We start from the raw sequence: 17,183 nt of genomic DNA, 5'->3' as shown, positions 1-17,183 counted from the left end.
CACAATTAAATTGGTGGCAATAAAGAGTTCTCCACAAGTATCTCTACACTCGTCATCCCATTTATTCCCCCAGGCTTCTTGTTCTTGATCCTTCATTTACATTGTCCAACAGTTTTGATACAAGCTAAAAAAAAGTGAAGTGTCCACTGCAACCCCCACATTTGTTATATTTTTAAAGATAATAATAATATGTGTGTTTCTAGGCATCTTTGTTTTTAAGGACTCTCCTTACTTCAGGGAAGAATCTCACCACAATGCTTGCTGCAAACACCTGCAGACATCTCACATTTTATTAATTTCAAAGATTTGTTTAAATTAAGTTGATGAAATTAATTAAATTGAAAACAAATGCACACAAAATAAACTTATTGGAACCTTTGAATACAAACATGCTTTTTCTTAACTTTGTGATTCTGGTTTCATCGTTGAAAATCTGGATACTGGGCAGTTTCAAGAGGGCAGATCACTCTGTCCCCAAAAGATCACCTTCACCTCCAGCTTCAAGTCAAGAATTTATTTCACAGGAGAAAACTTCTTAGTCTATAATAAGGATATGGCTTGGAATGCAGATACCCTTGAGATAGGTAGCAGCAACCAATTTGCAGTGACACATAAAAAATTCTAGTAAATCTTTTCCTGAAAGGCAGCTTTGATGGTTAGAAGGAGAACTAGGCAACTGGATGCCCAAAATTCCATGGGTGGAGGAAAAGTGTGCAAAGTATGAAAGATGGGATCTTAGAAGACACTACTTGTCTTCAACTGGGCTACAAGAGATGATGATAATGAGAACACTCTTGTTATAAATGGCTTTTGTTATCTATCTTAACAATGAACTCTGTAAGTTCCATGCCAAATGAATTTCCTTAGCCTAAGGGCCTCTGGGTCCATGTTGCTTGTCTGTGTTTTTCAGGAGATTATCTGTTTTTGTGTGTTTTGCAAATGAAAGAAAAGCAGTTTTAATTTCTGGTCACTAAGGGTTTTCTGAGTTTCTTCCTATATGCTTGGAATATTGCTTTGAGTGAAAATCATTTTTTCTGAAGGTCATGATTATCCCAAGTTTAAATGAAGGAGGGTGTGGCTAATAGAGAAGAAAAGAGAAGGGACATCTCACAACTGGAATTGTGACTGTACCTTGTCTGCAAAGATGGAAGCTTAGATGGGAATGCAATTTGGAGGCCCAGATGGGTTGAATGATTATTATGGGGAATACGGAACCCTAGGCCTGCTGCCTTATGATCCCCCAAGATGTGAAAGGGAACCTGGTCAAACTTTCTTCCATACTCTTCATCCCATTCAGTTAGGGACATCTGTTTTGCTCCATTTTCTATAATGAGGTTCCACTGCTAAATATTAGGTGTGTTTTTGACATAGCAACTGTATGGACAATAGACAAACCATTGTAATTAACTGCAAAATAATTTAAAGAATTTCATGACAGGATAGGAATGCATAAGCTACCTTTTCAATTTTCCCAGTTGTTTTAAAGAACCATCTTCAATTATTTTACCAGCTGTAAAGCCAAACTGATAGATCTCTCTCTTCGGAAGTCCACAATAGCTCTATCGATATCTAATAAAATTATTTTCTCCAGGAGATTTGTCCCCTGCTAGAACATCTTTGTGGGTTTTAAAGTTCAGACAAGTCATGACAACTTTCATGATATAGACTCAATTAAAAAGCAAGAGAAGTAGAAACAACAATATTGTTAATTTTTCAATAAATACAGTGATTCTCTCAATTTAGAGTAAGAGCAAAATTATCTTAGGTACCGTATGATATCCACTGGAGACATAGCTCTGTGTTCTGGATACCATTGTACCTCTGTTACTAGTCAAATTCTGCTCCATGGCCCTTGTCTTTGAATGTCAAGCAATGGGATTCAGGCATTTCATTAGATAGATACCTATTATATAGATTTACACTTCTCAGATTTATAAAGAGAAGAGAGACAGATTAGAGCTCTAAACAAAGAAGATGTTTTCATCTTTGTGAATGGGCCTTGTTTCTGGGCTTTTGAGTGCATGCACTATGAAGAATTTTGTTTCATCTCTATATTTTAATGTTTCATTTCTTTTTATTTCTGTGCTAGAGCCAAACTTAAAGAGGCTGGGAATTCATTCATTCCTTAATGCAACAATTGTGACAAATACAAGTTGTACACCCTGTAGACCACACTTACCATGTCCAAGTTCCTGTGGACTATAAAGATGAAGACATGAAGATGCTCTCTCTTCTGGAGGCTCACAGTCCACTGGGGAGATGGCAGTGGGATCACAGAGGCGATGACAAAGTTCTGCCTCTGCTGATTGAATTGTGTGCCCACTTTTCTGTGTGCCCTACTGGATATCAGTGCCTTGAGCTGCCTTGAGGGCATTTGTTCCTTTTTAGTCCCATTGGAGTGTCTGACATAAAATCAGTGGGCTAAGGAATAAATGGGAGAGATGGACAGGAAGAGTTGGTAACGGAGTGGTCTGTTTCACCTGCATGAGGTGTGAGTGTGGTTTCAGGGAAGAGGGTTCTGGGGGATGGTGAAGGTGAGGTAGAAAGGTAGGAGAGGGCCAGATTATGGGCCTCGTGTGATTTGCAGGAGAATTTAGACTTTAACCTGAGAGCAGCTAGGAGGCATTGAGGGATTTCAGGTATGGGAATGATATCAATGGCATGGGAGTTGTATTTTGTATCACTCTGGTGATGTGTAGAGAATGGATTAGAGGCAGATATGGCTGGAGCAGAGTTTTTCAACCTCAGAGCCACTGACCTCTTGAGCTAGACAGTTCTTTTTGTGGGATTCCTGTGCATTGTAGGATGTTTAGTAGCTTCCATGGCTTCTATCCAGTAGATGCCAGAAGGACCCCACTGGTCTTGACAACCAAAAATGTCTCCAGATACTGCTGAATTTCCCCTGGGGAGCAAAATAGTTCTCTGGTTAGAAACCACTGGGTTGGAGGCACAGACTACACAGGAACCACTGGAGGAGCCCAGGGAATAGATATGCAAGGGCTGAAGCAGGCAGAGAGAATGCAACTAGAGAGGAGGCAGTGCATACAAGGCATAGTAAAAGGCAGACTTGTGGAGACAGGGTCGCTGGTTACATGGTAGGGACACAGCCTGTGGATTCCTACCGTCCGGGTCCTGCTCTTATCTCGGAGACATTGAGTTGAAAACACTTCAACCTCTTTATGTTAAAGATGAGACTATAGAGACCCAGGAATGTTTCAGTGGTGTGTCAGCATCACACAGGGAGTCCATGGCCAGCATGATTTCGTTGAGTTGTTGGAGCCATTGAGAGAGTTACATAATACTGTTGCTTCTCAGAGCTTCAAACACAGAGTGGTGGAGACTCAGCATCACCACTTACCTTTGTTATCACTGTTCCCCATCTGGATATACTGGTTCAGATTCTTGTCTGGGGGTTTCAAATCACATATTTTGGAACTAGATTTGTAAACGGTTCAAGATCAGCAGCTTGAGCCCTGTTAAAAGTGTTGTCTAATGGCTGGGCGCAGTGGCTCACACCTGTAACCCCAGCACTTTCAGAGGCTGAGGCGGGTGGATCACCTGAGGTCAGGAGTTCGAGACTAGCCTGACCAACATGGTGAAACCCCTGTCTCTACTAAAAATACAAAATTAGCTGGGTGTGGTGGCATATGCCTGTAATCTCAGCTACTTGGGAGGCTGAAGCAGGAAAATTGCTTGAACCTGGGAGGTGGAGGTTGCAGTGAGCTGAGATCATGCCATTGCACTCCAGCCTGGGCAACAAGAGCGAAACTCTGTCTCAAAAAAAAAAAAAAGTGTTCTCTAATTAAAAATTTTTTAAAAATCAGATTGGGAGAAGAAAGTCTTAACTTATGGAATCTCTATTTCTGTGAGGTCATGGGAATGTCCTGTCACCTTGTCTTAAATGGTGTGACTAGTGGGGACATCTCTGCCACTGCCATGGCCCTCTGGGGTCATGACCACCCATTTATCAGACAAGCTTTTTCCATTCTTTTCAAGTTTCTCAAAGACAGCTGGGCAGAGTGTTATTGCCCAGATTAATGCAGTGGTGTTCTGGGAAAACGTGTGACCCCATTCAGCCATATGACAGCTGGAGGATTAGGTCTCAAGTTGGCTGTGTCAGGGTGGAGAAAAAACAAAATCAGTTCCTAGGCACCACTGGGCAACGGGAATGTTTTCAAAGCCCACCCAAAAGTTGCTTGGTTACAGGATCTGAGAGAACTAGTGCTGTGGAAAACTTCAGATGAGAATGGCAAACCATTTGAAGAGTGCCACTTAGAGCTTATGAGAATTTCTGCAGAAGAAAAAAATTACAGTGGGAATTGTTCTAGGTGAAAATGACATTTTAAGGAGTCATTAATCTGAATAAATTCACAAGCAAAATGGAGCAGGTTCCCCATAGTGGAGATAGCACCGTGCTTCTGTGTTTTATCAGTAGAGTATATGTTCTCATTATGGAAGAATGCTGGATTGTAGTAGAGAAGGGGAGTGAAATTAATCATGTGAGACTTGGTAACTGGCAATTACAGACACACAATGAAGATCACTGGTGTCTGCCATAGCAGTGGTGCAGGCTGGCATAAACATGGTAGAAAAGCCATGCTTGGTAGGTACAACTATAATAAATAAGAGTTGAAAATATTTGTTTTCCCCTTACTGGTAAAATGAAAGCACAATGGAGACACCAGAATTTTTATAAAGGAGGGTCTTGGGGGTGGCAATGGGTGTTAGATTAAAGGGTCATGTGAAGCTGCTTTTGCATATGATCGAGAAAGTATCTTTATTGAAGAATAGCTGGAAACTAAGAGAATGGTAAAACTAACTCTCACAAGCCACCCTGTAGCACCATCCCTGTAAATGTTTGTGTATGTGTTTGCGCGTGTTTGTGCCGAGTGTATATGTGAATGCATGTATGTGTTGTGCATGTGATGGCAAGTGTGTGTGGAAGGCAGAGGCAGGGGTGTTTAAAGGGTTGCTTACAGTGTCTTGCCCTAACCATAGATGGCTTAAGGTGGTTTCACTGAAATTCTAGAAAGTCTGTGTGTGAACACGCAAAGGCATTTCGTGCATGTAAAAAGAGTATTGTCCTCATCCATCAGGCATGCCATACTCTTGGTCCCACCCACCCTCCACCCGAACACATAACAGGTCACTGGTGGGGCTGCTGCATTGTCTATGCATATGTCTTTCATGCACTACACAGTTGCTCCGATTTGTCACTGGTGAAGTCTCTGACAGCCCAAGGCTGCTGTGGTTATACCATGGTGAGTTCCTTATCTTACCCTCTACCAGGTTTGGTCTTCCTCCCTGCCTGTCTGACGTGAACATTCTCCTCCCTCTTTTCTCCCTTTCTGTAGTTCCATGGTCATGGTTCAGACAAATTTACCCTATTCTTATGGCTTCGGTGTCTTTCTTCCCACCATTTTCCCCCAGATGCTAAGCCATTTCTTCCCTTTGGCTCAGATGTGTCAGGACATATGCATTAGCAGTGATGCACTGGGTTTTGTTTGTTTGTTTGTTTTGAGATGGAGTCTTGCTCTGTTGCCAGGCTGGAGTGCAGTGGCACAATCTCAGCTCACTGCAACCTCTGCCTCCTGGGTTCAAGCCATTCTCCTGCCTCAGCCTCCCAAGTAGCTGGGTCTACAGGCACACGCCACCATGCCCAGCTAATTTTTGTATTTTTGGTAGAGACGGGGTTTCACCACGTTGGCCAGGGTGGTCTTGATCTCTTCCCCTTGTGATCTGCCCGCCTCGGCCTCCCAAAGTGCTGGGATTACAGGAGTGAACCACCGTGCCTGGGCTGCAGTGGTGTTTTTGAAATTTCTTTTGTGTTACGTCCCATGAAACAGCAGAAGCTGTTTACGAATCCTGTGGAATCACCTTTCCCCTTATGGTTCCTGCTACCTGGTGATGACCAACCCCAGTTCTAATTAGACTTGTCCCTACCACAGGGTTTTGTGATTGCTGTTTGCCTTATTTTTCATTATAAAGCTAGTACATCAACTTCTAAAAAATTCAGAAATCACAAAAAAGCATAAATGAGCAAAAAAAAAAAAAAAAAAAAAAATAACATCCTAGCTTGCCCCCTCGTAGAGGAAATCAGTGTTAATGCATTAGCAATTTCTTCCCTATGCATTTTAATGCAGTTGCAGTTATCCAGTATACTAAATTCTTAAAATTCCTGCTTTGTTTGTTTAATGTGGAAAACACTGGTGCATGAAAACACATCAGAAGTTGAACTGGAGATCAAACAATGAATTGGGAACATATTTAACACAAATACAGACAAATGGGTTAAATGTCCTAAATTAGAAGGAACTCATAAAAAGTGCTGTTTTAAGCATCATTTTCGCATTGCACACGCTTGGACTATCCTGAACATTCTTATCTAATGGCATCTATAGTCTCCAGCTGCTGATAAGCACATAGTAGCTGGAGTTGCTTCTGCAGGAGCTAGGATGCCTCCACAGAACAGAAGGCAGCTCCTGTTTTTGTTTATAATTGCAGTATTGGATTAGCAAAATAAAAATTCAGAATTATCACAACTATTGGATTATTATTATTATTATTATTATTATTATTTTTTTTTTTTTTTTTTGAGATGGATTCTCGCTCTGTCGCCCAGGCTGGAGTGTAGTGGTGCGATCTCGGCTCACTGCAAGCTCCACCTCCTGGGTTCACGCCATTCTCCTGCCTCAGCCTCCTGAGTAGCTGGGATTACAGTCACCCGCCACCACGCCTGGCTAATTTTTTTGTATTTTTTGTAGAGACGGGGTTTCACCATGTTAGCCAGGATGGTCTCGATCTCCTGACCTCATGATCCACCCGCCTTGGCCTCCCAAAGTGCTGGGATTACAGGCGTGAACCACCGCGCCCGGCCAACACCTATTGGATTCTTGAAGACAGCATCACAGTTTGGGTCAGCAACTCCTCTAGGGTAGGAGATGCCAAGAACAGCTTGAGAACATAAAGGCCTGAGCATGCTCTGCAGATTCCTATTTTGCAGTCTTTTCAAAAGCTTTTTACCTTTTCTTTCATGTTTTTCTTTGGAGCTATTCTCGTCTTTAGAACTCTGGGTTTTTTCTTTTTCTTTTTTTTGTTTTTGTATTTACTGACAACTTAAGTACTCACGAGAAGTTTTTATCACTTGAAAGGGGACTTTGAAATTTTGAGTGTTTACTGTGTTGTAAGGAAGCTCAATGCCTTGTTCCTGATGCAAACTCAGTGCACCTTATCTTGCAAACATTTTGTATTTTACATCTTAAGACACCAATAGTGTGCATCATTTCAATTTTGTAGTTGGCTAATTCTCCACAAATAGTTCATTTTATGAAATACAGCATTCCGCAGTGGAAGCATAGCAGTGGTTCAGGTGGCTGCTGTCTTTCTGCATTAATGTCTCAGATGAAACCTGGTGTTGGCTCCTCTGCCAAGCAGCCAGGTGACCACAGACAAGACTATCCACCTTTCAGAGCTTCATTTTCCTCATCCACAAAACAAGAAGATTGGATTTGAGCACCACTCAAATGCTTTCTAGCTCTTAACTCTGATTCTTTTGCTGAATGTCAAGGTAAAAAAAAAAAAAAAAATCCAAGACTGTGGCTTGAGGTCTTTTTACTATGAGAATGGGAACTTGGGGACAGGAATATTTTTCATAGCTTTTGAGAGTTAAAGGGAATGTTGAGGAAGGTCTTGCACAAGGGTTAGCAATATATAGCCTGTGGCGGGCCCAGCACCACTTATTTCTGGCCTTCAAGTGAACAGTTACGTTTTAGACGATGATAAAAGTACCTATATAATATCCTCCATTTTGCCTCTTTTGAACCACCTTCAACTTTTAAGTTTTAAAATTTTGCCAGCAAAGCTTAAAACTTACAATCTAAGCCTTCGTAGAAAATGTTTGCTGGCCTCTGATCTAGCACATACCCTCAGGATTCTTCTACAAATGAGAAAGCCTAGAGAGATGAGAAAATTTGCCCAATGTTACATGGTTGGGTAAGTATTCTGGAAAGCTGGGATTACATCCTTATACTCACATTCCTGGCCCAGCTATCTTAGATGGCATTGAACACAGCTAAAATGACTCAACTCCTTCTTGCTGAAACAGAATGGGTAACTAAGAAACTACATCTATTTTTCAATTATAGCAAATGAATGATCAAAAGAGACAACATATTTTATTTAAGTATGGGTGACCTCTGTGGTTCAATGAGAAGAGCTCGTGTGTATACGGGACAGGGTGCAAGGCTTTGGTTTTCCAGCACAGCATGCCAGGACCTGCTGACTCCTCAGAGACTTCCATCACCCTAGAAGGAGTGGTGAGAAGGCTGGGGACCGAGTGTGTTGCAGCAAACAGAATTCTTAGTAGAGCCAGGCTGCAGGGGAAACAGACTTCCCACAGGAAGCTCGCTCCCTTCTGGGAATCATGTTCTGGTTTTAAAGTTGAATTCATTAAATAAGGAATGACTCATTCCAGGGCTGGTTCTAATTACTCATTTACTTACAGTCTGTGTTAAGAGTGGCTGTCTTCGTGGAAGCAATTCAGTAGCAGAGCTTCCCAAATCATTCCTCCTGTTCAGGTGAGCATTTTGCTACCCCACTTAATAATAATTAATTGCTTCAAAGGACTTGGCTAGGGTGAAAAAATGAGTCAGTCAAGTGTCCTAGGAAGTAGTCTAGTCATGTCCTTGAGGGCTGGGATTTGAGCCAGAGGAGAGTGTTGTGTGACCAGCTGTGACAGCCAGAGTGTGGTCTGCGGAGGGGAAGACATTTTGCTTGGCACTTAGATAAATAGACACTCTCACTACTTCCCTAAGAAACCACAGGAGAGGAAAGGTGAAAATATTACTAAACCTATTGTTGCTAGAAAGCAGAAGCTAGAATTTTCTGAGTTTTAGATGCATGGGGTTCTATTTTCTTGCATTTTTGTCAGTGGGTTGGTAGTGAGTGTTAAGTAGATGTTCTTTGCAATCCCCAAGCTTAAATTGAGACAGGATCTCAGAGCCTCTCCCTCCGTCTCCTCCCTTCTCTTAAGATCCAGTGCCACTTAAATAAGAGAAAGTGTTGGGCAGTGTGTGCTGGTTACCATTCTTTTAGGTGGGCTCTTTATAATAGATCTGAGGCAATACAGGCAAGGTTCAGAGAAGAGGCTCTGGTCAGCTGGCTCAAGGCTGAGTCTTGGGAGTGTACGCTCAATGCTGTAAACAGAGGAGTGCAGTCTCCTTCCTGGTTTGGCAGATGGTGAATTGGAGGTCCTAGAGCTGTGGCTTCCAGAGCAGGGTACATACAATGATCCACTGGGGTGGAGGAAGAAATTATTCAGACTTCTACTGATATTTTATTTTTATCACCTCTTCATAAAATTTCTGTTGTATAGGTTTTATAATGTGCATATATACAATGACAGATATACATGTATCTAATTTATAAATAAATATGCAATTATTTGTATGCACAAATATTTTTTCCCCAAAAGAAGATTTGGAAACAGCTGCTCTAGATCTTGAAGATGAGTCTACCAAAACGAAAAGGGGCGGGGGTGATATGTTTTTGAAACTCTGAAATCTCTGTTCATGCCAAAGCCCTAGATTCCAAAATAGATGTGAGAACTGTCTGCTCTAGTTATGGTGGTGACATGCCATTTTACATGCTTTTGGTCTATCACTCTGGTAAACCAGGGTGAGTCACCCAAACACAGTCAGGGCTTTTGCCAAGCTATTGGGTAGGTGCTGTGTCACTCTCATTTAAGCATCGTATGGTGACCCCTAAGTCTCCAATATACACAGGTGCTGGACTGCACTTGAGTGGACACCGAATACAATATTAGTGGGGATTCTCTGGTGGCGGGAAGAGCATTGGACAGAGAATGAGAGGGCCAAGCTTTGTTCATTCATTTGTTCACTTGATTAACATTTACTTCTTATCTGGCACGTGCTGGACATTGATATGACCTAGATCTTATTTTCTCTTCTGTAACACATGATGAGATTATTTCTGAGTTTCTTCTCCACTCTGATTGTTCTTTAATAATTCTTTCTCCAGATTGCTACTGCTCTTATTTACATGGTTTTAGATCATTGGTCATTGCTTTTGAAAGCAAAAGGTATAGCCATCTTCTTTCTTGCTTTTTATTCTATGAAAGACAGTTTTATTTTACTTTTTTAGAAAATTTTAAGTTCCAGGATACATGTACAGAACGTGCATGTTTGTTACATAGGTAGACGTGTGCCATGGTGGTTTGCTGCACCTATCATCTTATTACCTCACCTAGGTATTAAGCCCTACATACATTAGCTATTTATCCTGACGCTCTCCCTCCCCCGACCCCCTGCTGACAGGCCCCAGTGTGTGTTGTTCCCCTCTCTGTGTCCATGTGTTCTCATTGTTCAACTCCCACTTACAAGTGAGAACATTTGGTGTGTGGTTTTCTGTTCCCGTGTTAGTTTTCTGAAGCTAATGGCTTCCAGCTCCCTCCATGTCCCTCCAAAGGACATGATCTTGTTCTTTTTTATGGCTGCATAGTATTCCATGGTATATATGTACCACTTTTTTTAATCCAGTCTCTCATTGATGGGGATTTGGGTTGATTTTTTGCTATTGTGAATAGTGCCGCAATGAACACACACTTGCTTGTATCTTTATAATAGAATGATTTATATTCCTTTGGGCATATACCCAGTAATGAGATTCCTTGGACAAATGGTGCCATCTTCTTTTTAAATGTGGTAACTGAGACATGAAAAATGGGGAACAATGATATTTAAAATCAGGGTTTAACTTTTTTCCTTTCTTTTTGTGAGTTGCAAATTTCTAGCATAAAATTGAAAATTAATAACAGCTAGCTTAAAAGGTAATATAAAATGAGTTTTTCTTACTTGAAAGAGCCCTCACTTCCTTTAGAGGCATCCAATTGGGAACTTTCAAAATCCTCATATCTCCACTTCAACATTAGAAATGTGATAATGGGCAGATGCTTTGGGTGAAAGAGAAATAAACAGGGTTTTCAGAATGACTCACTTGATAATCGGAACATAGGCTGGAAATTTTGTTATTAAGGAAAGGGTTATCCATATTTAAAAAATAGAGCATCCCTTGTGATCTGTGGTCTTCTCAGTACCTGCCTAGCACCTTGGCCTAGCTGAACAAATTGGCCCCTAAATACAGGCTTGGCCCCACCCCAGCTCTAGGACCAATTGTACCCTTACTGGGGAGGGAACTGAGAAGCCCAAGCCCAGCCCTTTGGATGGGCCCTTAGTTTGCTCTCTCTGTTGCTCTGTCCTGCTCTCTGGCTCTCATGCCCACCTTCCCTTTCCTGAGTCCCTGCCCTGGTCCCCGCCCTGACCCCCAGCACTCTGCTCCCTCAGGACCTTGACAGCCCTTGTCTCTGGGGCTAGACCGGGCTTCTGACTCTGACCCTGTGGCTGGGGACGTGCCCCTGCTTGCTGATTGACAGTCCACGTGGGTCATCCTTCATGTCTTATGTCCCCTGGGGCCATGTTCTCTTTCCAGAACAGGCTCTTAGTAGAGTCAGACTTGTAAATGCTTGCCTTTCCCGTCAAACTTCTCCCATTGCCCAGTGGTCATAAGATATTGAATTGTCAAATTCATCTGTAAAATCCTAACCTTTTCAGTATAACCCAAATGTATTTCCATGGCCACCCAAGCCATGTGCAGCCCCTCATCTCTGTCTACTGGATGTGCAGTTATCGCCTGAGGGGTTCTCTGCTTCCACTCCTATCCCCATCCTCTCATCCATATTTTCCATACAGTAGCCAGGGGATTATTTTGGTAAGTGGAGCTCAGATCTACTTATGTTAAAATCTCAGCTCCTTCCTCTGGCCTATGAAGCCCTTCTTGCTTTGCCTCCTGCCCACCCCTCAGACTGTTTCCCGTTCTCCCTTGAATAGGCTGAGCTCATGGCAATCTCAAGGACCTTTGCAAGAGCTGTTTCCCCCACCCAGGAGGGTCTTCTCTCTGGTCTTTGTATGGCTGTTTCTTTTCTTTAAGTTTTAGCTCAAATTTCAGCTCCTTGGAAGGTCTTCCCTCAGTGCCTAATTCTGAGTAATTCCTCCAATCTACCTGTTTGCTCCCTCTCATGCTATCACCCTGTTTTATTTTCTTCAGAACACCTGACACTATCAAACACTGTCTCACTTGTTTGTCTTCCTGTTTGTTGACTGCCTTCCCTAACTAAAACACCAGCTCCAAAAGAGCAAGGACTTTACCTTGTTTCCCTCACTATTCCCAGCATTTAGGGATGTTCCGGTACAAAGTAAGAGCTAAACTAATATTTGCTGAATTAATGAACAAATGAATGAATGAATGTATGGATTCTAAATGCAACCAGGACAGCATTTATTTATATAAAAGAAAGCATACAAGTAGAATATTCTCCTGGGATTAGGGTTTGCCAGAAGTCAAGCATGCTCTCTTGTTATGTTTTTTAGTGTGAAATCAAAAGCAATACTAGACCAAGTGTGGTGGCTCATGCCTATACTCCTAGCACTTTGGGAGGCCAAGGCAGGAGTATCACTTGAGCTCAGGAGTTTGAGACCAGCCTGGGCAACACGGCAAAACTCTGTCTCTACCAAAAATAAAATTGCCAAGGGTAATGGCATGTGCCTGTAGGCCCAGCTACTCAAGAGGCTGAGGTGGAAGGATCACTTGAGCCTGGGAATTTGAGGCGACAGTAAGCCATGATCATACCATTACACTTCAGCCTGGGCATCAGAGTGAGACTCCATCTCTTAAAAAAAATACCATAGTCATTGTAGAAAATTTGGAAAATACAAAAACACAAATAAAATTTAAAAACCACCTGATACTAAAACTGTTATAAATGTGTAGAATCCATCTATATATTACTGACAATTTTTATAATTTTAACAAAAATATACTAGAGATGCTATTTTATAATCTGCTTTTTCATTTCACATGAATATTTCCCATTACATTAAATATTCTTCTATAATTTTATATTCAATGGACATACAATATTCTACCACATAAATATGCAAAAATATTTCTTACCATCTTTCCTCCACACATCCCACCAAACTGTATATGAGAATATCTCTCATTGTAGCCCTGCGAAAACTGGATATAACACTTTTAAAAAATATTTGATAATTTGGCTGGGTGCGGTGGCTCACGCCTGTAATCCCAGCACTTTTGGGTGGATCACCTGAAGTCAGGAGTTCGAGACCAGCTTGACTAACATGGTGAAACCCCATCTCTACTGAAAATGCAAAAATTAGCCATGCATGGTGGTGGGCACCTGTAATCCCAGCTACTCGGGAGGCTGAGGCATGAGAATCGCTTGAACCTGGGAGGTGGAGGTTGCAGTGAGCTGAAATCACACCATTGCACTGTAGCCTGGGCAACAAGAGTGAAACTCTGTCTCAGTATGTATACATATATTTGATAATTTGAAAGACAAAACCTATGGTGGTTGGCAACTTGTTTTGCATGTAGCGACCATTTGCTCTTCTCTTTTGGAGTCATAGCTAGATGCAAGAGAGAAAGATGCCCTTGGCTAGTGTTTTGGGTGTAAGGATTGGGTTCTGCTACCTCTAGCTTCTTGATTACATGACAGCAACACAAGGAGCCCACAGTTCCAGAAGAGCCTGGGTTTTTCCACAGGGAGACACAGATGCCCTGTTTCTTAATACCATCTGCAAAGCTGTTGAGAAATATGGAGAACAAAATTAAAGCTTCATTTATTTATGTAATATAATGTAATTTCCTTTACTCAGAGAAAAATGCATTATCTTTAATTATGACTTATGTCTGGAGGGAGTGAAATAATAAAGCAGAAGTGATGGAGAAACAAATTCATCCTGTATGGGGACAAAGGAAGTAGACTCTTTCTTGAGAGTATTACACAGGAACCAAAATAGGCTGTTCTAATTGGAGTCAGTAAGTTCAGTGTTGTTATCCATTTCCCCTCCAGGAAATCTTGGGAGACTACATTGGCATCTGATAAAAGTTTACCATCAATAGATTGCCTTAATGTATCCAAGTCATGGAACATCAAGGAATTCTTAAGCCCTAGGTTCAACCAAGATAAAGGAAAAACACTTTGTTTATATGAGTTATAGGTAGCCTTGGTCAGTGAGATAGTTTAATTAGCCAATAATTGTGCCTCGGATGAACCTCACTGGCTACAATACTGCCACTGTGCAAAGCTGAGATAATTTAAATTATACTACAAGAGAATTCCTCATGCATGTTTCTGAAGAACACATTATAGTTGTGAAATTCCCTGTCTGGCCTCTATGGGAGCTTTTCAGCTGGTTTCATCCATGGACAGCTATGGAAGGTTTCCCTTCATGTTACTCCCACCCCTATAGTTGGAGTAAACCATAGGTATTCAGGCCCTAGTTTTATTCATGAGGGTTTAGCGTACCATGGGCTGTTGAGTGTAAGGGTGTTTCTTATAGTAGGTAAATCAGAGAGGAGATGGACAATTATCTTACTGCACAATCTATGGGTGGCTTGTTGCATAATGATGTTCACAGTATATGGTGCTTGATCCTTAGAGGTTGGGGGTCCCTTACCTCACCATCTCCTCTACTTGTGGCTTCTTCACTTTTCCCTTCAGATTATTTTGTCCCATCTGCAGGTCGGGGAGGAGGTCTTTCTGCCTTGGAGCAATGACTTGTGAAATTAGTGATCAGCTATTCATGGTCATTGTTTTATTTTTGGGTGGGCTAGTTTTGCTGCCTAGGCTGGGGATCATTAGAAGGCCTTCAGGAATTTTGTAAGCACAGGTGGAAGGAGAAGCTCATTGATCAGTATTTCAAAATACTGTTTTTGTTCTTCATTGGTATTTGGAGAGAGACAAGGCAGAGAAGTGGAGAGAAGGAAGTCGGAATCCCAGGCATAGTGTTTTCACAGAGTAAAGTGATCCTGACCTCCTCTCCGTGATCCTGACCTCCATGCCGACGGCTCGGTCCCATGCTACTGCTCTGTGCTTTCAGCTGCTTATTGGACACCTCCACCTGGAGGGCACATAACAGCTCATATTTAACGCATCAAGCTTAATATGTTTACAACTCCACTCATGACTTCTTTTTTCTCCAAAACCCAGTCTCAAACCTGCTCCTGCTGACTTGGTTGATGACATCACTATGTACACAGCTGTCCCAGCAAGAGGCCTGGAAGCCACCCTTGCCTTGTTACCCTTCCCCACACTCCACGTCTACTGAGACACCAGAGTCCTATGAATTCTATCTCAGAAGAAGTCCTAACCACCTGTTCCCTGCTATCTCTTCTTCTCTTTCTTGGAACATTGCAACATCTTTCTTATTGATCTCCCTGTAGCCCATCCCCTGAACTCCTGCTACAGTCTTTGCTGGAAGTAGTTTCTAGAACCTGGCCATTGACTGCATGGAGAGTCCAGTCCCATACAGTGGGGCCAATGGTTCCTCACACACTGGCCTCCACCCTCCTCTCCAGCCTTAGTTCCCTGCAAGGCCTTTTGTCCCACCTGGACCCTCTTATCCTTCTCTCTCAGACAAAGCTTCTCCTTCCAGCACCACCTGTCTGTGCCAATTCCTTCCTTCTCGTGCTGGTTCCCTTGCTCTGGCTGTTCTTTTTTCTTTTCCTTGCTGCACCAGGTAAATTGATACTGATTTCTCAAGTGGCTCCTCCTCTATGACATATTTCTTGGCTCTTGACATGACATGGCATTAATAGTTTTCTCCTCTGTTTATTTCTTCCTCAGGGTACTTAAAACACCTCTTTCTGTCAGTTTAAATGTCTGGCCTAAGTGGTGCCCTGCCCTTGGGGACTGCTCAATAAGGGATAGATGACTGAAGGGAGAGGACTCAATCTAGCTGACTCTTCTGGTCCTGACCTGAAGCCCTAAGATTAAATAGAAGTCCTGTGTTGTAGAGTAAAACACAAAATCCAGAGTTCTAATTTGCTTCCACTGAGAACTCATAATAAGTGCTGTGCATATTTATAATGCATCAGGCTTTTTATATCATTTAAAAAGAACAAATGGGCCAGGCATGATGGCTCATGCCTGTAATCCTTAGTGCTTTTGGAGGCTGAGGTGGGAAGATCCCTGAGGCTAGGAGTTCAAGACCAGCCTGAGAAACCTAGTGAGATGCCGTCTCTATAAAAAAATGTAAAAAAATTATCCAAATTTGATGGCGTGTACTTACAGTCCTAGCTGCTTGGCAGGCTGAGGCAGGAGGATCACTTTGAAGCCCAGGAGGTCGAGGCTGCAGTGAGCTATGGATGGGCCACTGAACTCCAGCCTGGGTGACAGAGCAAGACCCTGTCTCAAAAAAAAGAAAAGAAAACACCAAGTGACTTTTTTGTATTTTTGTTCTAATTTTATTTTAAAGTGCATTTAAATGTTATCCTATTGGAGCAGAATATGATAATTTTAGACACTTTGTGCATAAATCTTAGTCAATTTCTTGGAGGGGGTGAGGAACTGTATGCATTCTTTGTAACAGGAGCAGTAACTTTTTTTTTTTTCCCCAGGTTTTTTTTTTTTTTTTTTAGTATTTATTGATCGGATTTGGCAGGGTCATAGGACAATAGTGGAGGGAAGGTCAGCAGATAAACAAGTGAACAAGGGTCTCTGGTTTTCCTAGGCAGAGGACCCTGCGGCCTTCCGCAGTGTTTGTGTCCCTGGGTACTTGAGATTAGGGAGTGCTGATGACTCTTAACCAGTATGCTGCCTTCAAGCATCTGTTTAACAAAGCACATCTTGCACCGCCCTTAATCCATTTAACCCTGAGTGGACACAGCACATGTTTCAGAGAGCACGGGGTTGGGGGTAAGGTTATAGATTAACAGCATCCCAAGGCAGAAGAAATTTTCTTAGTACAGAACAAAATGGAGTCTCCCATGTCTACTTCTTTCTACACAGACACAGCAACAATCTGATTTCTCTATCTTTTCCCCACATTTCCCCCTTTTCTATTCGACAAAACCACCATCGTCATCATGGCCCGTTCTCAATGAGCTGTTGGGTACACCTCCCAGATGGGGTGGCAGCCGGGCAGAGGGGCTCCTCACTTCCCAGAAGGGGTGGCCGGGCAGAGGCGCCCCCCCCCACCTCCCGGACGGGGCAGCTGGCTGGGTGGGGGCTGCCCCCCACCTCCCTCCCGGACGGGGCGGCTGCCGGGCGGAGATGCTCCTCACTTCCCAGACGGGGCGGCTGC

General features: G+C 42.5%; 1 protein-coding gene, 1 long non-coding RNA gene and 1 pseudogene across 17 annotated transcripts in view; 1 reads left to right on the top strand and 2 right to left on the bottom strand.

Moving 5' to 3' along the window:
- Positions 1-17,183, top strand: part of FRMD3 (FERM domain containing 3) — a 342,803-nt gene that overhangs the window by 295,669 nt on the left and 29,951 nt on the right. The window lies entirely within an intron of this gene.
- Positions 259-16,285, bottom strand: LOC124902190 (uncharacterized). Of its 6 annotated transcripts, none has more exons than XR_007061610.1 (5): positions 16,170-16,207; positions 14,556-14,999; positions 13,567-13,678; positions 10,872-10,969; positions 259-2,902 (listed from the first exon to the last, which is right to left on the bottom strand). It is a non-coding gene; the product is annotated as an uncharacterized LOC124902190 (long non-coding RNA). The 6 variants fall into 6 exon arrangements; XR_007061611.1 differs by having other exon boundaries at positions 14,913-14,999; XR_007061614.1 differs by lacking the exon at positions 14,556-14,999 and having other exon boundaries at positions 10,872-13,678; positions 16,170-16,285.
- RNU4-29P (RNA, U4 small nuclear 29, pseudogene) lies at positions 14,012-14,185 on the bottom strand (annotated as a pseudogene).

This window comes from Homo sapiens, chromosome 9 (assembly GCF_000001405.40).
Source record: "Homo sapiens chromosome 9, GRCh38.p14 Primary Assembly".
Classification (NCBI taxonomy): domain Eukaryota; kingdom Metazoa; phylum Chordata; class Mammalia; order Primates; family Hominidae; genus Homo; species Homo sapiens.
Note: the sequence above shows the minus strand (reverse complement) of the source record. Positions and strands in the feature narration are given on the sequence as shown.